Genomic DNA, 23,229 nt, shown 5'->3' on the forward strand with positions numbered 1-23,229 from the left:
CCACTACACTCCAGCCTGGGCAAGAGAGTGAGACTCTGTCTTAAAAAAAAAGTCAATGTTCCAGTAAAGGGCATCGTGGTATCCATATGGCCATAACTAGGAGAACTAGAAATCCACATTTGACATTCCTGGTTAACAAGATCTTTTTCACCACCCTGTGCCATAAGGCAGTGGGGTGGTTTCCTTTTTCTTGGCCTTTTCCACACACGGGGTCCAGTTTCATCACCTCTTTTTCTCTTCTCCTTTATCTCAGCTCCCTCCATTCCAAGGAAGACACTTACTTCTCCTGTCTTATCCACAGCAGCTTTGCCCTCTTCTAAGAAGCCACGGCACCAATTTATGCTGAGCTCTTGCAAGTACCACCCCAGGTGTTTGTCAAGCCATAATTCCAAGCAAAAACCATTATCTCCCCAAGATACATATGGGTACCATCTGTCAAGATGCTAGCATTTCCCTTCATTTTCTTACACCTTTACTAAACTATATTTTTCTCAAGTGAGCTTGAGTGGATTTCTGTTCCTTCTAGTCTGTGCTGCAATATTCTATTAAAAATTTAGGCTGAATGCAGTGGCTCACACCTGTAATCCCTGCACTTTGAGAGGCTTAGGTGGGAGGATCGCTTGAGCCTAGAAGTTCAAGACCAGCTTGGGCAACATAGCAAGACCCCATCTCTACAAAAAAACTAAATAATTAGCTGGGCATAGTGGTGCATGCCTGTAGCTTCAGCTATTCTAGAGGCTGAGGTGGGAGGATTGCTTGAGCCCAGGAGTCTAAGGCTGGAGTGAGCTATGCTTGTGCCACTGCACTCCAGTCTGGGCAACAGAGTGAGACTCTGTCTCAAAAAGAAGAAAGAGGGCCAGGTGCGGTGGCTCACGCCTGTAATCCCAGCACTTTGAGAGGCCAAGGTGGGTGGATCATGAGGTCAAGAGATGGAGACCATCCTGGCCAACATGGTGAAACCCCATCTCTACTAAAAATACAAAAAAAAATTAGGTGACTACAGTGGTGTGTCCCTGTAGACCCAGCTGCTCAGGAGGCTGAGGCAGGAGAATCACTTGAACCCAGAAGGCGGAGGTTGCAGTGAGCTGAGATCGTGCCACAGTACTCCAGCCTGGCGACAGAGCAAGACTCCATCTCAAAAAAAAAAAAAAAGGAAAGAAAAGAAAAAAGAAAGCTTAGCTATACCGAGAACTTTATTTCCCATATCCCATTTTGTATTAGTCCATTTTCACACTGGAAAAAAAAAATACCAAAGATTGAGTAATTTATAAAATAGAGAGGTTTAATTGACTCACAGTTTCGCATGGCTGGGGAGGCCTCAGGAAACTTACAATCATGGCAGAAGGGGAAGCAGGCACCTTCTTCACAAGGCAGCAGGAGGGAATAAGAGCCAGCAGGGGAAATGCCAGACACTTATAAAGCCCTCAGATCTCATGAGAACTCACCCTTTATCACGAGAACAGCATGGAGGAAACTGCCGCCATGATCCAATCACTTCCCTCCCTCGACACGTGGGGATTACAATTTGCAGTGAGATTTTGGTGGGGACACAGAGCCAAACCATATCCTTTTCCCTGTAGGGTTGTGGGTTAAAAGTAGGCAGAAGAGGATGGTGCGGGAGATTTGGGAAGTGGAAGGAAGGTGACATCAGTGTTTACTCTTTGAAGGCTGTCCAGATGAGACAAGGAGGTGATCTGACAGAGGGGCCACAGAGGTTCCAGCTTGTCCTCACCCTCCCCTGTGTCCCTTGCAGCTTGTCTTCCTGACCGCTGGGCCTGCTGACCAACAGCAGCCCCCCCGCCTCTGGATGCTTGGCAGACGAGGCAGCAGCCCCCTAGGGACCCCTCTACCTGTTTCCCCTCTGCCACTCCATCTTAACAGCTGGACGCATCTGACTCTCATATCAGCTGTCGGTGACTTCTCTCATCCTCTCCACCCTTCCCAGACCGCCATCTCCCCAGCTCCCTGGACAATTGTAGAAGGTCTAATTCCTATAACGCATCCCTTGCCCCAGAGCACGTAGTGACCCTGCTTCCCCGATTGAGCACTGACTAATATCCCTCAACAGCCTTTACAGAAGTAGCCAGAAGTTGGAGGCAATGTGTCCATCTTGCACCAGGCCAACATCCCCCCATGCTTCCGCGTCTCAGCCTTGACTGCCTATTGCAATCACATGGAGAACTTTAAAGAAAATGCTGGGGCCTGGTCTTACAGCCAGAGTCTTGTCTAGTTGTTCCAAGGCATAGCCTGGTCATTGAGAGTCTTAGAAGCAGGTAGGCTGATGCCCCCTCACCTCCCACGGCACAGACATCCCCTCACCTCTTCGCTGGCTGAAATAGAAGAACCCTAGTGTCCATCAGCTGCTTATAGATGACTCATCTTCTTAATCCTTTCTTGACGAAAACTTGCTTCAGATGTTAATAAAAAGTACAAAATCTGCCCTATGTTAGTTTGACTCCTTGGCACAGCAGTGGGAGCCTCTCTCTCTCCCCTGTAGCCTAGGATCGTGATCAGAATCATAATGAAATGTGTGTTTGTGGTCTCCCGTGGCGTCAGATAATTCCGATGCCATCTGTTGTCTTCATCATCACATCCGTTATTGAAGTCCGTTGATTATGCCTTTGATTGAACCTGGGGCTATATTTATCAAGAAAATTATAAGCACAGGCTTTCTGACAGTGTCCAACCAAACAGAATTTGTCATCATTCAATGACTATTGCTTTCCATTTGTTCCTGTTTTGGACTTCTAAAAACCAACACAGGGTCTCCTTTTATTTTTATTTTTTTAAAGAAATCAAGTGAGCTGGCCAAGAGCAGAGCAGAAGATAGATTTTTCTTATTCTTAATTTTTTTTTTTTTTGAGACAGCATCTCGCTCTGTTGCCCAGGCTGGAGTGCAGTGGCACAATCTTGGCTCACTGCAACCTTGTCTCCCAAGTTCAAGCGATTCTCCTGCCTCAGCCTCCCCAGTAGCGGGGATTACAGGTGCCCGCCACCATGCCTGGCTAATTTTTGTATTTTTAGTAGAGGCGGGGTTTCACCATGTTGGCCAGGCTGGTCTCGAACTCCTGTCCTCAAATGATCCACCCACCTCGGCCTCCCAAAGTGCTGGGATTACAGGCATGAGCCACCATGCCCGGCCGAGAAATATATATGTATTTTTAAGAGACGGGCTTTCACTCTGTTGCCCAGGCTGGAGTGCAGTGATGAATCATGGCTTACTGCAGCCTTGAACTCCTGGGCTCCAGTGATCTTCCTGCCTCAGCCCCTTGAGTAGTGGGGACTATAGGCACATGCCACCATGCCTGGCCAATTTTTTAATTTTTTTGTAGAGATGGGGTCTTGCTGTGTTGCCCAGGCTGTTATCAAACTCCTGGCCTCAAGTGATTCTCCTGCCTCAGTCTCCCAAAATGATGGGATTACAGGCATGAGCCACCGTGCGTGGCTGAAAATTCTTAAATGTCTGCCACCTATGAAAGCATTTTGGAGCTATAGTTTGACCCAAGACGAAAACTGCTCATTTAGATAATGAAGTTTAATTTACCTTTGAAAGCAACACTTTGGGAAATGCCTGAATAAACTGACATCTTGAGTCGATAGGAGGCTTCCCCACGTGGAGTTTGGTGAGCTATACCAGGTCATTAAAAAGCCCTTAGATGGGCCGGATGCGTTGGCTCATGCCTGGAATCCCAGCCCTTTGGGAGCCCAAGGTGGGTGGATCACTTAGGTCAGGAGTTCCAAACCAGCCTGGCCAACATGGTGAAACACCATCTCTTACTAAAAATACAAAAATTAACTGGGCATGGTGGTGTGCACCTGTAATCCCAGCTACTTGGGAGGCTGAGGCACCAGGATCACTTGAACCTGAGAGGCGGAGATTGCAGTGAGCCGAGATGTGCCAGTGCACTCCAGCCTGGGTGACAGAGCAAGACTCTGTCTCAAAGAAAAAAAAAAAAGGCTCTTAGATTGGAAGTCAGTGCTCTCATTCCCCCTTGAAGATGGTGACTGTTTGCTACTGTTCCATGTCTTCAATGCTCATGCTGCTGCTTAGACCTGTTAGAACTGACCTTGAGTTATTCCAGAGGAAAATTCCAGCGGATCCTAGAACAATCAGAGTATTCTGGACTGAAGCATAGTCCAGAATCGCTCTGGTGATTAAATTCGGAAAGCTTGCCCAGGGCATCATTAACCGCCTGGAGGAGTGAGCCCTCTCACCATCTGTTGTCTGCCATCACTATTTGGTTTTTCTCTTTGGTCTCATTTAGAGCCAAGTTGAGAAATTTCCAGTTCCTCTCCACTTGCTGCCCGACACAGTTAACCAGAAACACAATGTGGTGAAGGGGCCCATGTTGTAGCTAAAACAGCCCTAGACTTGGAGGCAGGAGCCTGGGTTGATATCTTGGCTGTTTGACTTTATAGCAGCGATCCCCAACCTCTTTGGCACCAAGGACTGGTTTCATGGAAGACAATTTTTCCATGGACCAGGGATGGGGTGGGGGCATGGTTTTGAGATGATTCAAGTGCATTACATTTACTGTGCACTTTATTTCTATCATTATTACTTTGTAATCTATAATGAAATAATTATACAACTCACCATAATGTGGAATCAGTGGGAGCCCTGAGCTTGTTTTCCTGCAACAAGATGGTCCCATCTGTGGGCGATGGGAGAGAGTGGCAGATCATCAGGCATTAGATTCCTATAAGGAGCGTGCAACCTAGATCCCTCACATGCACAGTTCACAATAGGGTTTGCACTCCTATGAGAATCTAATGCAGCCGCTGATCTGACAGGAGGGGGAGCTCAGCCGGTACTGTGAGCATGGGGAGTGGCCGTAAATGCAGATGAAGCTTCACTCACTCACCCGCCACTCACCTCCTGCTGTGCGGCCTGGCTCCTAACAGGCCAAGGACCTGTACTGGTGGTGGCTCAGGGGTTGGGAACCCCTGCTTTATCAGACTTAGTTGGTCCAGTTTTTCCCAAAGTTGGGTACGCTCTGGGATGATTTTAGGCAGCATTTAGGAAAACATTAATTAAGAATTTTTTTTCGGCCAGGCATGGTAGCTCATGCCTATAATCTCAGCACTTTGGGAGGCCTAGGTGGGAGGATCATGAGGTCAAGAGATCAAGACCAGCCTAGCCAACATGGTGGAAACCCAGCCTTTACTAAAAATACAAAAATTAGCTGGGCGTGGTGGTGCACACCTGTAGTCCCAGCTACTTGGAAGGCTGAGGCAGGAGAATCTCTTGAACCCGGGAGGTGGAGGTTGCAGTGAGCCGAGATCGTACCACTGCACTCCAGCCTGGTGACAGAGCAAGATTCCGTCTCAAAAAAAAAAAAAGAAAAAGAAAAAGAATTTATTTTCAGGCAAGGCCTAGTGGCTCATGCTTGTAATCCTAGCATTTTGGAAGGCCAAAGTGGAGGATCACTTGAGCCTAGGAGTTTGAGTCCAGCCTGGGCAACATGACGAAACTCCGTCTTTACAAAAAATTAGCCCAGTGTGCTGGAGTGCACCTGTAGTACCCCCAGCTACCCAGGAGGCTGAGGCGGGAGGATTGCTGGAACCCAGGCTGCAGTGAGCTGATATCACGCCACTGCACTCCAACTTGGACGACAGAGTGAGACCCTGCTGAAAAAAATATATATAATTTTCATGTCTTTTAGGAACAATATTAGGTTTGCATTTATGGTGATGTAAAAAAGAGAATCAACATAAAGAAAAGTATTAAATAGACAATAAAAGAGAACACGCCTGTAATCCCAGCACTTTGGGAGGCTGAGGTGGGGAGATCACTTGAGGCCAGGAGTTCAAGACCAGCCTGTCTAACATGGCAAAACCCCGTCTCTACTAAAAATACAAAAATTAGCGGCTCTCGGTGGCATGCACCTATAATCCAAGCTACTCAGGAGGCTGAAGCATGAGAATCACTTGAACCTGAGAGGTGGAGGTTGCAGTGAGCTGAGATTGTGCCACTGCACTCCAGCCTGGGTGACAGAGTGAGACCCTGTCTCAAATAATAATAATAATAGAGAGGGCTTGAGGCATAGCAACTGTTGCCATGGTAACGTGCAAGTGACTGATGTTCAGGAAACACTGGCTTTGCTACCCTGAGCCACACTTTTCCTTCTTGCCTGCAAGGCGATAAGGATGTTGCACCTGGTGGCTGGTGTGAGGAGGTCAGGCGCAGCAAGAGGCAGCACACGTAGCAGTTACAGTCACAGACTTTGCCTGCGCCAGGGTCTGTGTCCCAGCGGAGATGCTTACCGGCTGTGTGGTCTTGAGCAAATTGCTCGACTTCTCTGTTACTCTGTGTGGTGTTTTCTGACGCCACTTCTGACACCAAATGTGTTTTTTCTGATACCAAATACGTGCCATTTTTCTACACTAAGTCTCTGATTCTTGGATGCCAACTGGGTGCCCAAGCAATTCAATTCAGCTATCACACTATGTCCTGGAGTTAGCATCAGGTCCTGCAAGTTAAAAGACCCCATCCCACCAGACTGCCCCTATCTCAGATGCCAGTCGCAAGTCCGGAGCCACCCACCCTTCTGCCTGGCCAATTACAAACTTGGGGGTTCCCACGACCACCTCCTCGGGTTTGATAGTTTGCTGGAATGACTCACAGAGCTCAGGAAAGCCCTTCACTTATGTTTACTGGTTTATTACAAAGGACAGAACTCAGGAATAGCCAAATGGAAGAGAGATGCATTGGGCAAGGTGTGGAGAGGGAGCCGTGCAGAGCTTCCATGATGCCCTCTCTGGGTGCACTGCCCTCCCAGCACACCAGTGTGTCCACCAACCTAGAGGCTCCCTGGATCTCACTGTTCAAGAGCTTTTATAATTCAGTCGCCAGCCTCCTCCTCTTCCTGGCAGGTCAGCGAGTGGGACTGGAAGTTGCCCGCCGAATTGTTTTTTTTTTTTTTTTTTTTTTGAGACAGGGTCTCACTCTGTCACCCAGGCTGGAGTGCAGTGGTGAGATCATAGCTCACTACAGCCTTGACCTCCTAGGAGTGAGCCTCCTGCTTCAGCCTCACAAGTAGCTGAGACTACACAGGTGGGTGCCAACATGCCTGGCTAATTTTTAATTTTTTTTTTTTTTTTTTTTGAGACAGAGTCTTGCTCTGTCACCCAGGCTGGAGTGCAGTGGCGCGATCTTGGCTCACTGCAAGCTCCGCCTCCCAGGTTCATGCCATTCTCCTGCCTCAGCCTCCCGAGTAGCTGGGCCTACAGGCGCCTGCCACCATGCCTGGCTAATTTTTTTGTATTTTTGGTAGAGGTGGGGTTTCACCATGTTAGCCAGGATGGTCTCGATCTCCTGACCTCATGATCCGCCCGCCTCGGCCTCCCAAAGTGCTGGGATTACAGGCTTGAGCCACCATACCCGGCCTAAATTTTTTTTTTTTTTTTTTTTGGTAGAGATGGAGTCTTGCTATGTTGTGCAGGCTGGTCTCAAACTCCTGAGCTCAAGTGATCCTCCTGGCTCAGCCACCTGAGTAGCTGGGATTACAGGCATGAGCCTCTGCATCCGGCAGTGCCCCCGACCACCTGTCTTTTTTTTTTTTTTTTTGAGACGGAGTCTCACTCTATAGCCTAGGCTGGAGTGCAGTGGCATGATTGCGGCTCACTGCAACCTCCGCCTCCCAGGTTCAAGCAATTATCCTGCCTCAGCCTCCCAAGTAGCTTGGACTACAGGCACGTGCCATCACACCCAGCTAATTTTTGTATTTTTAGTAGAGACGGGGGTTTCACCATATTGGCCAGGCTGGTCTCGAACTCCTGACCTCGTGATCTGCCGGCCTGGACCTCCCAAAGTGCTGTGATTACAGGCGTGAGCCACCGTGCCCTGCCCACCCCTCTCCCCTGTCTTTATCACACATTTGCTCTTCTGGTGACGAGGCCCCAACCTGAAGCCATCTCTCTAGGGAACTCAGCCTGAGTGCCCTCATTAGCATACACTCAGATGTAGTACAATGGGGATTGCTATGGATAACAAAAGACAGTCCTATCGCTCAGGAAACTCCAGGGGCTTTAGGAGCTCTGTGCTGGGAACCAGGGATGAAGACCAAATAGATATTTTATTAACCACACTAGTGGCTTAATGAATTACCTCCTAGGGATTTTTTTTTTTTTTTTTTTTTTTTGGTCAGGAGCAGATGAGATAAGATACATAAAAAAGATATTACAATACCTAACCACATAATAACTGTTCAGTAAATGTTAGCAGTGAAATGGGGGAGCTCCCCTGTCCCCTTTGCAGGACTTGTGACAGGGGTGTGGCTCGCTTACTTGGCTGCCACTGCATCAAACCCCTTGCAGGAGGGGGAGCATGCAGGTGAGCAGATTGGGGCTGGGGTGAGTGCTTTTGGGCTCTGGTCCCATGGCAGCGTCTAGGGATGTGTTACAATTAATACTCTTTTAGCAGTTGCTGTACGCAGATGACTAAGTGTTAACCAGTTCAGTGGAGATTCAGGGTGATAGCCTTTTACACCCTGCCCTCTTGGTACCTGGGTTCTTGTCTGGTGTCCAGGAAGAATCAGGTCACATGGACTTGAAGGATGGTGAATACAAATTTTTTATTAAGTAGTGGAAGTGGCTCTCAGTGGAAGGGGAGCTGGAAAGGGGATGGAGTGGGAAGGTAATCTTCCCCTGGAGTTCAGCCATCCTCAGATGATCTCCTCTCTGACTGTCCCCAGCCAAACTCCTCTCGATGTTCAGACACTTCTTCTCTTCTCTCCTTCTCTGCCACGCCACTCTGGTGCTATTCTGATTGTGGAGCCTGGGGTTTGGGGTTCTTAAGGGCATAGGATGGGGGCAGGGTGGTCCAGAGCGGTTTTGGAAAAGGCAACATTTGGGTGTGAAAACAGGAATGCCTGTTCTCATTTAGGGCTGCAGGTCCAGGCTTGAGGGTGGAGCCCTCACCTGGGACCCTGTCCTTCTGCCGCCTGTCCGTATCAGCAGGATGCTACTGCTGCTGCTGATACCTGGGGAATTGCCAGGTGTGAGGTGGGCATTAGAAAAATTTCAGGCTGGGCACAGTGGCTCAATCCTATAATCCCAGCACTTTGGGAGGTCGAAGCAGGAGGACTCCTTGAGCCTAGGGGTTTGAGACCAGCCTGGGCAACATCACAAGAACTCCTCTCTACAAAAAATTTTGAAATGAGCTGGGCATGGTAGTGTGTACCCATAATCCCAGCTACTCAGGAGGCTGAGGTGGGAAGATTGCTTAAACCTGAGAGGTCAAGGCTGCAGTGAGCTATGATTATACCACTGCATGCCAGCCTGGACCACAGAGCAAGACCCTGTCTCTAAAACACAATTAAAACAAAAATTTCAGTTGAATATGTTCCTAAGAAGCCACAAAAGAGTCTTTTGTTATGATTCTTAAATGAAAATTAACTAAAAATTGGAAATAAGGAAGAATGTCTTTTCCATGTCATACTGAGGCACTGCTTAATGACCTGCCCACGGATGATTAATTATCTTGGAGAGAGTACATGTATCTGACTTTGTTATTTATTATTTGATTAGAGCACTGACATAGTGAAATTACACGTTAACTTGTAGATTTCTGTCCAGTAGAAAAAAGACGACATTAAAGGTTATGGTTTTATTGCCCTTATAGCATGTTAACCAGATTTCTCTCGAATTTAGCAATCTTATGCTAAGGTTTTCATTAAAGATGCTGATGAGTCCACTTTTTAAATGCCCTTGGAGCGAGCTTTACCATTTTACTGGTTCCCTCATTAATGGGTTAAATAAATTTTTTGACAAGTGTTCATTCCACATTTGTATGAGTCACATTTTAAATTTTGAAAATATACTTCAGCATGATCTTAATAATGCCAAGTCCCAGAGAGTTCTCTGTGCCCATAATTTAGTTCACTGGGCACATTCCCAGAGCACGTTCAGTATGCAAAGCATCATGGTGGGCCCCGCAGGGAAGACTAAAATGGGTAGGACTGGTCCCTATAGTTGCAGATTTAGTAATTACTTATGGGCAGAAAAGAAGTATATAAATTACTTCCTACACTGTGAGAAAGAGAAAAGCTGCCCCTGGCAGCCGGGAGCTGGCTTGACACTCACAGCTTGGCCAAAGTGTTCTCCTGTTGAATGTAAACAATTTTGCAGATTGCCGGCATCAGACAAGGCCATCCTGAGACCGTGATAGATCAAGACAAAATAACACTACTCCTGAAGGCAGATAAAGACATGAACATTGTCCCAGCCACAAAAATCACCCAATAGCCCCATTTCCTAGCTCATATGAGTGACTGCTAGTTCTCCATCAATCACAGTTTCAGTCTTACTCTGTTCTTCTCCCTTTAAAGGAAAGAATTAGGAAGACACTCTATCAGAGAATTACCTCCACTTCCTGACAACATCCAATCCAGAGTAAATGCTCACTTCCTTTAAACTGTCCCCCAAAGCACCTAACACAAGCCCAAATTTTCTTTTCTTTTCTTTTTCTTTTTTTTTGAGACGGAGTCTCGCTCTATCACCCAGGCTGGAGTGCAGTGGTGCAATCTCGGCTCACTGCAACCTCTGCCCCCCGGGTTCAAGCAATTCTCCCGCCTCAGCCTCCCGAGTAGCTGGGATTATAGGCACCCGCCACCACGCCTGACTAACTTTTGTATTTTTAGTAGAGACGGGGTTTCACCATGTTGGCCAGGCTGGTCTCGAACTCCTGACCTCAAGTGATCCACCTGCCTCGGCCTCCCAAAGTGCTAGGATTACAGGTGTGAGCCACCACACCTGGCCCCAAATTTTCTAATAAGTGCTTTCTAACACCCTCTTACTGATATCTGCCCACAGCTGATTAGGTGCAAGCTAGCCCAGTACCAATCGATAGAAGACAGTACAGACTCACTAAAGTGATATATGATGGAGAAAATTGTCCCCATCCAGACTTCCCTTAGAGAGAAGACCCGGTGTGGTTGGTGGGAACACTCTGACGCTTCTTTTGGTTAGGGTTGTTGGCCACAAGCAACAGAAATCAACTCTGCCTGACTCAACCAAAAAATGGGATTGTAGAAGGCTATGAGTGGGGATGGGGGCTCAGGAGTCGGAAGGACAGGCTTGGAAATGAGTATGGATCAAGAAAGCCCCAGAGACTGGCCACAGGACCAATCTGGCCAGGAAGCCGCCATTGCTGGACAGCACAAGTCTAATCCCTCCATCCTTTTATCTCTGTCATTTGCTCTGTGGTCAAAGTCTTGGACATGAGCTTCTGATTGGCTGAGTCTGAGGAAGTGGGGGTGCTCCCTTGTTGAACTTCTCTAATAATGACTGACACAGTGAATGCTTTCCCTAAAACTAGGGTTTGGAGGTTGAGCAGCCAAAAATTCCAACTTTTTTCCATTACAGGAGGGAGACACAACCCCACCCAAGACCATGTGTAAGTAACAATAGGTAGTCTGTAAACAGCCTTCCATGGCCAGGAATGGTGGCCAAAGAAGGTCTTCTTTGACAGAGGTCAAAGAAGAGGGTGGGGGCCAGGCACAGGGGCTCACGCCTGTAATCCCAACAATTTGGGAAGCCGAGATGGGAGGATTGCTTTGAGGCCAGAAGTTTGAGACCAGACTGGGCAACATGGTGGAACCCCCTCTCTATAAAAAATATAAAAATTAGCCAAGCATGCTAGGGCACGCCTGTATTTCCAGCCACTCAGGAGGCTGAGGCAGGAGGATGTCTTGAGCCTGGGAGATTGAGGCTGTGGTGAGCCATGATCAAGCAACTGCACTCCAGCCTACATGACAGAGCAAGACCCTGTTTCCCTGTCACAAACAAACAAACAACAAACAAAAACACATACACATAAACCCCGTCGTTCTAAGCAAAGTGAGTCCTGCTATCTGCAGGATTTTGATTTTTTTCCAAGAGCATTATGCTGAACTGGTATCAGAATTAAATTGCTTGGAACAATTGTTCCTGGATCAAACTGAGGGTTGGGCTGCTTATTCTAGTGACCCAATAACGAGATGCAAATAAACTGGGAAAGGAGGGAGTTTCTATTTCTGTTACCAGTTACAGGGAAAAAGCCTGGAAAATACCACCAGACCAACTCAAAATTACAAAGTTTCCCAGAGCTTACATACCTTCTAAACTATATGTCCACGTGTAAGTGTGCGTTCACCTAAAGACCTAAATAATCAGCTTCTTCTAGTCTAACTAAGGTCTGAGTCCTGAAGACCTTCCTCTGAAGCCTCAGTAAATTTACTTAATCTAAATGGGTCCAGTTGCTGGGGTGATTACCCTTATCTTGTCTCCTGCTAAATCATGGAGGTTTGGGGACTTCCTTCACACTCCCAATAAACTTGTTTGTGGAGGCCTGGGGAGTTTCTTCACACCCCCAATAAAACTTGTTTAATCCTAAACGTGTCCTGTTAAGAATTGCCTCGTTATCTCGTCATGTTTCAAGGCCCAGGAAAGGCCTGAGCAAAACTGTTGGAGGATTTCTGTTACATTCCAGCCTTTGTATAAGGGCACTGGCTCTTTTAGCTTTTTTTTTTTTTTTTTGAGACAGAGTCTCGCTCTGTCGCCCAGGCTGGAGTGCAGTGGTGCGATCTCTGCTCACTACAACCTCTGCCTCCTAGGTTCAAGCGATTCTCCTGCCTCAGCTTCCGAGTAGCTGGGATTACAGGCATGCGCCACCATGCCCAGCTAATTTTTGTATTTTTTGTAGAGACATGATTTCACTATGTTGGCCAGGCTGGTCTTAAACTCCTGACATCAGGTGATTCACCCGCCTCTGCCTTCTAAAGTGCTGGGATTGTACAGGCATGAGCCACCATGCCCAGTAGGCTCCTTCAGCTTTGTTTTTTTCTTCTTCTTTTTTTTTTTTTTAGTGACAGAGTTTTGCTCTTGTCGCCCAGGCTGGAGTGCAATGGCAGGATCTCGGCTCACTGCAACCTCCGCCTCCCAGGTTCAAGCGATTCTCCTGCTGCAGCCTCCCAAAGTAGCTAGGATTACAGGTGCCTGCCACCACGCCCAGCTAATTTTTTTTGTATTTTTAGGTGAGACGGGGTTTCACCATGTTGGCCAGGCTGGTCTTGAACTCCTGAACAAGGTGATGCATCCGCCTTGGGCTCCCAAAGTGCTGGGATTACAGGCATGAGTCACTGCCTGCCCAGCCACTTTCAGCTTTTAATGTTTAACTTAACCACACAGTCCCTGCTGAAATAGCTGTCATGGAGGCCTGCGTTAGTGAGACCTGACCTGCCACACAATGAAGGAGATGTTCTTCATTGAGATAATGTGGGTGTCCGAATCAGGATCCACAGGTCAGTGTCCCAGCTCCACCATTGACTAGCTGTGTGATTCCGATGGAGCCACTTAACCTCTCTGAGCTGTGGGATCTTCCTGTATAAAAGAGACAACCACGTAGTGCCCACCTCAAACAGTGGTTATCAGGATTGAGATGATCTGTGTAAAGCATTTAGTGCCTATGAAGCACTTCTTAGTGTATAAAGCACTTAGGGTGTAAAAGGTGCATGGTAAATTCTGTTTGTCGCCCGGGCTGGAGCGCAGTGGCATGATCTTGGTTCACTGCAACTTCTGCCTCCCAAGTTCAAGTGATTCTCCTGCCTCAGCCTCCCGAGTAGCTGGGATTACAGCTGTGCACCACCATGCCTGGCTAATTTTTGTATTTTTAGTAGAGACGGGATTTCACCAGGTTGGCCAGGCTGGTCTTGAACCCCTGATCTCAAGTGATCTGCTGGTCTTGGCCTTTCAAAGTGCTGGGATTACAGGTGTAAGCCACTGCACCCGCCCTGTGCGTGGTGAATTCCGAGTAAATGGTAGCCAAAATCATTGTCATCATCATCGCCACAGGTAACCTTTTCCCCAAATAATACTCAGCTTCTCTTCTAAGTAAACGTTGAATGAATACTTTAGAGTGTTGAAGAAGCACCCCTAAATCTGCCCACTTGTTGATTCTAGCCAGTGATGTTAAATTTTTAGGAATCTGGAGAACCAGTTGTTCAACTGTGGGTAGCTCAAAATCTGCAGCAGTGGGAGTATTTACACCGTGGAAATTGGCAAATGATTCACAGCAAGGCTTCTACCTCCCTCCCCTGCTTCCAGCCAGTTAAACATTCCCCAGCACATCACTCATTCTAGTCCTAGCCTGCCCTACTTTGGGGCATCCAACAGAGATTACTTGCGTTTTCTTTGTGGTTTATCAAGCCCCAGGGTCTCGCTTGCCTACAAAGGAGACCACTAATCACTAGCATGCTGAATAAACATGAAGTTGACTTAAACATTAATTTACTTATTATCAAAAGCTTATCTGCTTCTGCTGGTGCAATGACTCTGATGGGAATTGCCAGTGGTGATGGTAGATAGGTGATGGCTTCAGAGAAGTGTGCTCTGTGCTTTGGCAGGAGCAGGGCTAAGCTGAGACAGTGGTCCTAGTGGCCCAGTCCATGGGCTAAGCAGGAATGGGTGGGAAGAGGGCAGGGGAGGCTTCCCCGGGGCCTGCAGATTGTGTTCTTAAGAGTTTTTTCCTTCAGTCCTTAGAAGCTCAGCTGAAAGGAATGACTGCGGCCGGATGTGGTGGTTCATGCCTGTAATCCCAGCACTTAGGGAGGCCGAGGTGGGCAGATCACCTGAGGTCAGGAGTTTGAGACCAGCCTGGCCAAACTGGTAAAACCCCAACTCTACTAAAAATACAAAAATTAGCTGAGCATGGTGGCTGGTGCCTGTAATCCCAGCTACTTGGGAGGCTGAGCCAGAGGAATTGCTTGAACCCAGGAGGTGGAGGTTGCAGTAAGCCCAGATCAAGATCACACCACTGCATTCCAGCCTGGGCAACAGAGCAAGCAAGATTCTATCTCAAAAAAAAAAAAAAAAAAAATGGAGTGATTGCTTTAAAATTCTTAAACAGGGCCGGGTGCGGTGGCTCACGCCTGTAATCCCAGCACTTTGGGAGGCAGAGGCAGGCGGATCACTAGGTCAAGAGATGGAGTCCATCCTGGCCAACGTGGTGAAACCCTGTCTCTACTAAAAATACAAATATTAGCTGGGCGTGGTGGCGGGCGCCTGTAGTCCCAGCTACTCAGGAGGCTGAGGCAGGAGAATTCCTTGAACCCAGGAGGCGGAGGTTGCAGTGAGCTGAGATCACGCCACTGCACTCCATCCTGGCGACAGAGTGAGACATTGTCTAAAAAAAAAAAAAAAAATTCCTAAACAGGAGGGGCTTAGGGCCAGCCAGTTGGTCACATGAAACAATCAGGGGACTTACCTTAGAGCTGCCTTCGCAGTAGGGAGTCCATGGTTTTTAGTGAGATTTGTGTCGTACAAATTAATTAAAATTGCATAGTTTCTATCAAGTTTTTTTCTTACACTTTCCACAAAATTGGGAAAAATGTCTATTTCCCATTTCTTTATTTCATTTTCTCTTATTGCTTCTATCCTACCTGATATTTCCCATTTCAAAAGCACGTTTTTTTTTTTGAGATGCAGTCTTGCTCTGTCGCCCAGGCTGGAGTGCAGTGGTGCCATCTCGGCTCACTGCAAGCTCCACCTCCCGGGTTCACGCCATGCTCCTGCCTCAGCTTCCCGAGTAGCTGGGACTACAAGCACCTACCACCATTTTTTGTGTTTTTTAGTAGAGACAGGGTTTCACTGTGTTAGCCAGGATGGTCTCTATCTCCTGACCTCGTGATCCACCCCGCCTCGGCCTCCCGAAGTGCTGGGATTACAGGTGTGAGCCACCGCGCCCGGCCCAAAAGCACTTTTTAAATGTTGAGGTGGTTTGAAGGCTAATGGAAATTACGAGGTGGGACTGAAACCATTCCCTGCCATCCCTAAGAAAGCCCACTCCTTGGAACTGCCACTGGTGAAAGTCTCACTCTGTCACCCAGGCCAGAGTGCAGTGGCACAATCTCAGCTCACTGCAACCTCTGCCTCCCAGGTTCAAGCGATCCTCCCACCTCAGCCCCGCAAGTTGCTGGGACTACAGGTGCCCACCACCATGCCTGGCTAATTTTTTTTTTTTTTTTTAAGTAGAGACGGGGTTTCACCGTATTGCCCAGGCTGATCTCAAACTCCTGAGCTCAAGTGATCTGCCTGCCTCAGCCTCCCAAAGTGCTGGGATTACAGGCATGAGCCACCGCGCCCGGCCTGAAAGCATTTTAGAAGGCTCCTGACTGAAAGAACGGGATAAAGTAAGGGGGTATGGGAACAGAAGATGACAGCCTGGTATATCTGGGTGACATGCGTAGGCAGTCTGTTGTAGTGGCAATTGTCAGGGCTCTGGAGTTAGACTGTCTTCTTTCAAATCTTGCAAGCTGTCTGATCTCGGGCGATTTACTTAACCTCTCTGAGAGTTCTGTAAAGTGGAGAATAAGAATACCACCCTACAGATGATGAGGATTCAATGAGATTGGGCTGGATACAAATCAGCTTTTGTTGGCATCAGCTTGAGAGGAGGGATGGACTTGGGAGTGGAGAGGGTGGATTTGGGGGAGAGGACGCCACACAGTGGCAGGAACTCGCAGCAGGTGACTGAGAGTGGAAGGCACAAGAGAGCCCAGATGCTGAGCCAGCTCAGAATAGAAACGGTATTGATAGCAGAATGCAAAGCAGTATCACTCGAATGACGGATGTTTAATTGGATTTCTCCAGGGCTGACTCACCGCCTTTGATAGATGCGATTGCCCTCGTGGTGTCTATCATGAGACTTGAAATTTTTCCACCTGCACCTGCAGTCTTTAGGCCTTGTTTCAACAAAATGCAGTACTGTGTGTACCCTCCATGCCTGCCAGCCTTCCTTCCTTCCTTGTGTATTTACTGCAATGTATCAGGGACGGGGTGGTGTGCTAGAACCATGAAGGAAAAAGGCAAAGTCCCTTAAAGGAGGTGCAGTCTGTTGAGGCAGAAACACAAATGCCTAGATGGTTCTGGAATGCCTAGATGTCAATGGGATAACAAGGGGGCTATGGCTGCAGGAAGGAAGAGGACCTGATGTAGCTGAGGGCATCAGGAAGATTCCAGAAGGAGAAGGGATTAGTGAAGCTGCAGAGCACTTAGTTTGAGACAAAGATTTCTGAGCTGAGGGAGGAGTTGGGCAAAGGCTTGAGTGCAGGAGTTCAAGAGAACTCCTTGGGGCCAGGCTTTACACAGGGATGCACATGGGCTGTGTACCAGTCTGTTCTGACACTGCTGTAAAGATACTACCCGAGACTGGGTCATTTATAAAGGAAAGAAGTTTAATTGACTCACAGTTCTGCATGGCTGGGGAGGCCTCAGGAAACTTGCAGTCATGGCAGACGGCGAAGGGAAAGCAAGCACGTCTTACGTGGCGGCAGGAGAGAGACAGCACAAGAGAAAATGAGTGTAGGAAGTGCCACATTTAAAACCAGCAGCTCTCTTGAACTCCTGCACTCAAGCGATCCTCCTGCCTCGGCCTCCCTTAGTTCTGGGATAACAGGCAGGAGCTGCTGTGCCCACCTGGAGCTTAATCTCTGTTCACATCTTTAATTATTCTGGGCCAGCTTAGCCAAAGGCCTTAGGGGTAGGGTTAGGGACACCAAGGGCCAGTCTTCTATCCACTTCACAGCTCGCTGGGCCCTCCAAGGGAAGGACTATGTGTCTCATTCTAGGCACTGGTAAGAGTCTGGGGGAAAAAAAATCAAAAATAACAAGTGGACGCGGTGGCTCACACCTGTAATCCCAGCACTTTGGGAGGCCGAGGTGGGTGGATCACTTGAGGTCAGGAGTTCAAGACCAGCCTCGTCAACATGGTGAAACCCCGTCTCTACTGAAAATACAAAAATTAGCAGGGTATGGTGGTGTGCCCCTGTAATCCCAGCTACTCAGGAGGCTGAGGCACGAGGATTGCTTGAACCTGGGAGGCAGAGGTTGCAGTGAGCTGAGATTGCACCACTGCACTCCGGCCTGGGCGACAGAACGAGACTCCATCTCAAAAAAAAAAAGAAGAAGAAGAAGAAGAAATGAACTCACAACACTTACTGTCTCCTTCAAAGGAGTGAAGGATGTGCAGAGGGCTAAGTGCGGTCCCAGAAACTGCCAGGTAGCATCAGTGAGCAGGTGCAGGAAATCTGTTGGCCAACCTTGCATGCACTGGGCACGGCCCAGTTCCCTGCCAGAGCCCAGAGAAGAAAACAAGCTCTGGTCTCAGTCGAAGCAGTGGGGTGGGAAGAGCCCTGCTGTCTCGCCACATGGCCTTGGTAGCTGGCCTATGTCTCAATGTCTCTTGAAAGTGAAAATAGATCAGGAGGGCTGACACGTAGTAGGCGCTCAAGAACTGTTTTCTGGATGAGTCAGTGAATTGGTGAACAGCATTCACCTCTCTGGGCATTGATTTCTTCATTCATGTAAGGTGAGAGCTCTTCTAGCTGCAGAAATTTCTTTAGAGCCAGGCACAGTGGCTCACCCCTGTTATCTCAGTACTTTGGGAGGCCAAGGCAGGAGAATGGCTTCAGCCCAGGAGTTTGAGACCAGCCTGAGCAACATAGTGAGACCCCCATCTCTACCAGACATTTTTTTTGAGATGGAGTCTCACTCTGTTGCCCAGGCTGGAGTTCAGTGGTACGATCTCAGCTCACTGAAACCTCCATCTCCCAGGTTCAAGCAATTCTCCTGCCTCGGCTTCCCGAGTAACTGGGATCACAGGCATGCACCACCATGCCCGGCTAGTTTTTGTATTTTTAGTAGAGATGGAGTTTCGCCATGTTGGCTAGGCTGGTCTTGAACTCGTGACCTGAATTGATCCACCTGCCTCGGCCTCCCGAAGTGCTGTGACTACAGGCATGAGCCACCGTGCCTGGCCCAAAACGTTTTTTTAAAATTACCAAGGCGTGGTGGCATGCGCCTGTAGTCCCAACTACTTGGAAGGCTGAGGCAGGAGGATTGCTCTAGCCAGGAGGTCAAGGCTGCAGTGAGCTATGATTACACTCCTGTAAGTTCAGCAAAATATTTCTGTAAAGGGCCAAGTACTAAACACCTTAGGCTCTACAGAGTGTACAGTCTCTGTCGTGATTACTCACCTCTGCCACTGTCGGGAAAAACAGCCACAGACAATGCTGAAATGAATGGACATGACTTCGTTCCAATAGCATGTTATTCACAGATGCTGAACTTTGAATTTCATATAATTTTCATTTATCAGAAAATGTTATGATTTTGATTTTCCCCAAGTATTTAAAAATGAAAATTAAACTATTCTTAGTTCGTGAGTTGTACCAAAACAGGCAGTGGGCCAGATTTTGACTGTGGGCTATAGTTTGCCAACCCCAGCTAAAGATTGAGGAGCAAACGCATCTTCCAGGAATTCCTTGGATCGTCTTAGACAGAAGGTCAAAGGGAGAGTGCACTCTCTCCTTGGTGTGGAAATACTGATCACCATGTCTTCCAAACTGGGTTTCATAGACACATCTCCATGCCATGCTCTCACTCTAGAACCTAAGATGGCTCCCATGTTAAGGTTCTTTACAACGCAGACACATATGTCCCTGATATGTCCTAATTGGGCAGACTCTTCATTGTCACCTACCCTGGCATACCACACCCATTCCTAATATTTGTCTCAGCTCCCCCTTCTCTCTGAGTGCCTGGAATCTTTTCCTGACCCCTCCAAGTTGTGCCCTCCCCTGTAAGTTGCATCTCGATTTGAGCAGCCTTCTCCCAGACTATCCTGATCTCTGTCTTCCTTGAACTCCAGTCACTGGCTGGAGCTTTCACAGTCCCAGTCGAGAGCATGGGCTCAGATCAGACTGCCCGAGTTCAAGTTCCTACCACTTACTCTGTGACGTTGAACAAGTTCTTTATCCTGTCTAAGAGATAATAATAATAGTCCTTACCTCATAGAGTTGCTGCAAGAGTTCACTGAGATGATTTGTGTAAAATGCTTAATCCAGAGCCTGACACCAATCATATGAAAGCATTCAATAAGTACTAGCAATTATACTTCTGTATTGTTTGATGTTTTTATAGTGAGACCATATTTATGTAATATTTGTATAATTTTTTAAATAGACCAAGCTGGGTGTGGTGGTATATGCCTGTGTTCCCAGCTACTTGGGAGGCTGAAGCAGGAGGATCCCTTAAGCCCAGGAGTTCAAGTCCAGCCTGGGCAATATAGTAAGACCCTGCCTCTAAAAAAGAAAAAAAAAAGGACCAAGTATTCTTTTTTTTTTCTTTTTTTTTTTAGATGGTGTCTCGCTCTGTCGCCCATGCTGCAGTGCAGTGGCATGATCTCAGCGCACTGCAAGCTCCACCTCCCAGGTTCACGCCATTCTCCTGCCTCAGCCTCCCAAGTAGCTGGGACTACAGGTGCCCGCCACCACGCCCGGCTGATTTTTTGTATTTTCAGTAGAGACAGGGTTTCACCGTGTTAGCCAGGATGGTCTCGATCTCCTGACCTTGTGATCCGCCCGCCTCGGCCTCCCAAAGTGCTGGGATTACAGACTTGAGCCACCGTGCCCGGCCAGGAGCAAGTATTCTTTTAGGTCTAAAACAAAGGTAACTAAGCAATACTGGTGTTTGTTTGTTTTGAGACAGGGTCTCACTCTGTCAAGGCAGACAGCTGGAAACCCACGTCAAGAAAATTGACTATTTTCAAAAGTCAATCCTTGCCTCCCAGGTTGGAGTACAGTGGTGTGATCATGGCTCACCCAGGAGCTCAACCTCCTGGGCTGAAGTGATCCTCCTACCTCAGCCTCTCTGGTAGCTGGAACCACAGGTACACACCACCAGGCATAGCTAATTTTTTTATTGTGTAGAGACAGAGTCTCGCTATGTTGCCTAGGCTAATCTCGAACTCCTGGACTCTATCGATCCTCCCATCTCAGCCTCAAAGTACTGGGATTACAGGCATGAGCCACTGTGCCTGGCCATAATTTTTTTATATCATACATACAGAAAAGAGCAGTATTAGTAGTTGTTATTGTAAGAAAAATGAAAACTAAGGCAGTCTAGAAAGCCCTTGGAAGAGAGAAGAATAAACTGCGCTTGAGGAAGTTGACATTTGGGAACAGAGTGGGAACAAGGGTCTTGAAGAAGGTGACATTTGTTTGGGAACGAGTGTCTGACTGCAATCAAAGGAAAGGCCAGTGTGACAGGTGGATGTAAATCCACAGTCCATTAAAATGGCCACAGAGAGAAAACAGACATATTGGCCTTCCAGGGTGCAACATGAGGGCATTCCCTTCCTATGTACACTGGCAGGCACCTCTCCGGTCCCTTGGTCCCCAGCAAGATGCTGAGAAATTGCTGAGGCCAGGGGCTCCCTGGACACTTATCAACACTTATCCTTACCCAGGGATAGCGTTTAAGCTCATGAATCCTACGAAAGCTGAACCAATGCACATGTTTATCATCTTGGAACCATTTGATTTGAGGAAATTGTAATAGCACATGCTGGCCAGGCGCGGTGGCTCATGCCTGTAATCCCAGCACTTTGGGAAGCTGAGGCGGGTGGATCACCTGAGGTCAGGAGTTCGAGACCAGCCTGGCCAACATAGTGAAATCCCCTCTCTACCAAAATACAAAAATTTGCTGGGCATGGTGGCAAGTGCCTGTTATCTCAGCTACTTGGGAGGCTGAGGCAGGAGAATCGCCTGAACCTGGGAGGTGAGGTTGCAGTGAGCCAAGATCCCGCCATTGCACTACAGCCTGGACGACAAGAGCGAAACTCCATCTCAAAAAAAAAAAAAATAGCATGTGATAGTGAGATACACATTTTGCACAGAAATGTTGGCTGAGATAGTCCAGGAGAGTCTCTGTGAGCTGACTTTTTACCTAGGGTGGAGGAGTGGATGGAAGTGGCTGTTCCTACACACCCACACTGCCTGTGCAAAACCGTGGGCTGCCTGCACCACACACACAAGCCTGTTTGATTCTCATACAACCCCAAGACAAAGGTGTAATCCCTTTTCAACAGTGACAGCACTGAGGCTGAGAGCAGCAAAGTAGGTCATAGCCAGTCAATGGGGGTACTGAGATCTGCATTGAGATCTGGCTGTGTCTAAAGCGGGTTGTATCCTCTCTGTGCTTGCAGAATGGGGCTCGAGGGCTCATCTAAACCCCTCATCTTATTTATTTATTTTTATTTATTTATTTATTTATTGAGACGGAGTCTCGCTCTGTTGCCAGGCTGGAGTGCAGTGGTGCAATCTCGGCTCACTGCAACCTCCACCTCCCAGGTTCAAGTGATTCTCCTGCCTCAGCCTCCTGAGTAGCTAGGACTACAAGCACGTGCCACCACGCCCAGCTAATTTTTGTATTTTTAGTAGAGACAGGGTTTCACCATGTTGGCCAGGCTGGTCTCGATTTCTTGACCTCGTGATCCGCCCTCCTCGGCCTCCCAAAGTGCTGGGATTACAGGCGTGAGCCACCGCGCCCGGCCCAGACATGACATCTTTTTCTCACCTGTCTTAAGATACCTGCAGCCTCTGTAACTTATTTTTAAAAGGAGACAATAAAGACTATTTTTAAAAGTCAATCCTTGCCTCTGAAAACCTACCTCTGCCTTTGTCGTGGTCTCTGCTGGGTTTCCATTAGGCTGCAACTCAAGCTGCTGATGCCTCCATTTCATGTCGTTTTCACAAACATTTTGTAAAGCAGCAGCTCTATTATTCCAGCAGGGCCTGATCACCTCTCCGCACCCAACGCTGATAAAAATGACCCGCTTTCCCCTATCGTCCCAGCGTGAAAGACCAAGATGCTGAATGACACGGGTTGGCTTTCTTTTCCTTCCGAACATTAATCAGGTTCTTGAAGATAACATCTCTCTCTGGAACGAGCCGGCAGCAGCAGAGTTTGATTTCCAGGTTCAGCCCTAATGGTACAGAGACCTGGACTAATGTGGCTTATTCAAAGTTCCAGCCATGCTTCTAAAGCATGGCTTATTCGAACTTCCAGCTATGCTTTTAAAGCACTTTGCATGAACTATTCACATGTCTTTTGAACAATATGATTTAATGGCATTGGAAAATCATCATGATGTCATGCTTGCAATGAGCAGGACAGCTGTATGTCTTGATCCAATACACATTAAAAATGCACCTATCCACACATATGTATCTGTGAAAATGTCTTCAGCTGCAAGTAACACAGCGTCCGACGACTAGTGTCTTAAATCTTGGGTGACCAGCTGTCTCTGTTTGCCTGGGACTGAGAGGTTTCCAAGGATCTGGAAACTGCAGTGCAGAAACTGGGACAGCCCCAGGCAAACCAAGTCAGTTGTTCACACTACTTAAGTCA

At 47.8% G+C, this 23,229-nt stretch overlaps 2 protein-coding genes across 3 annotated transcripts in view, besides 2 other annotated features; both read left to right on the forward strand.

The window, feature by feature from the left end:
- Positions 1–23,229, forward strand: part of MPV17L-BMERB1 (MPV17L-BMERB1 readthrough) — a 192,506-nt gene that overhangs the window by 138,758 nt on the left and 30,519 nt on the right. The window lies entirely within an intron of this gene.
- The window catches only part of BMERB1 (bMERB domain containing 1), a 153,672-nt gene that overhangs the window by 99,924 nt on the left and 30,519 nt on the right, over positions 1–23,229 (forward strand). The gene's annotated exons all lie outside the window — the stretch shown is intronic.
- Positions 4,605–5,106: an enhancer, noted in NCBI's record as "NANOG hESC enhancer chr16:15632973-15633474 (GRCh37/hg19 assembly coordinates)". NCBI's record gives its function as "activates a minimal SCP1, AML or CMV promoter by ChIP-STARR-seq in primed H9 embryonic stem cells {active_cell/tissue: H9 hESC(primed)}" and the evidence as "EXISTENCE:reporter gene assay evidence [ECO:0000049][PMID:30033119]".
- Positions 7,682–8,227: an enhancer, noted in NCBI's record as "OCT4-NANOG hESC enhancer chr16:15636050-15636595 (GRCh37/hg19 assembly coordinates)". NCBI's record gives its function as "activates a minimal SCP1, AML or CMV promoter by ChIP-STARR-seq in naive H9 embryonic stem cells {active_cell/tissue: H9 hESC(naive)}" and the evidence as "EXISTENCE:reporter gene assay evidence [ECO:0000049][PMID:30033119]".

This window comes from Homo sapiens, chromosome 16, assembly GCF_000001405.40.
Source record: "Homo sapiens chromosome 16, GRCh38.p14 Primary Assembly".
NCBI lineage: Eukaryota > Metazoa > Chordata > Mammalia > Primates > Hominidae > Homo > Homo sapiens.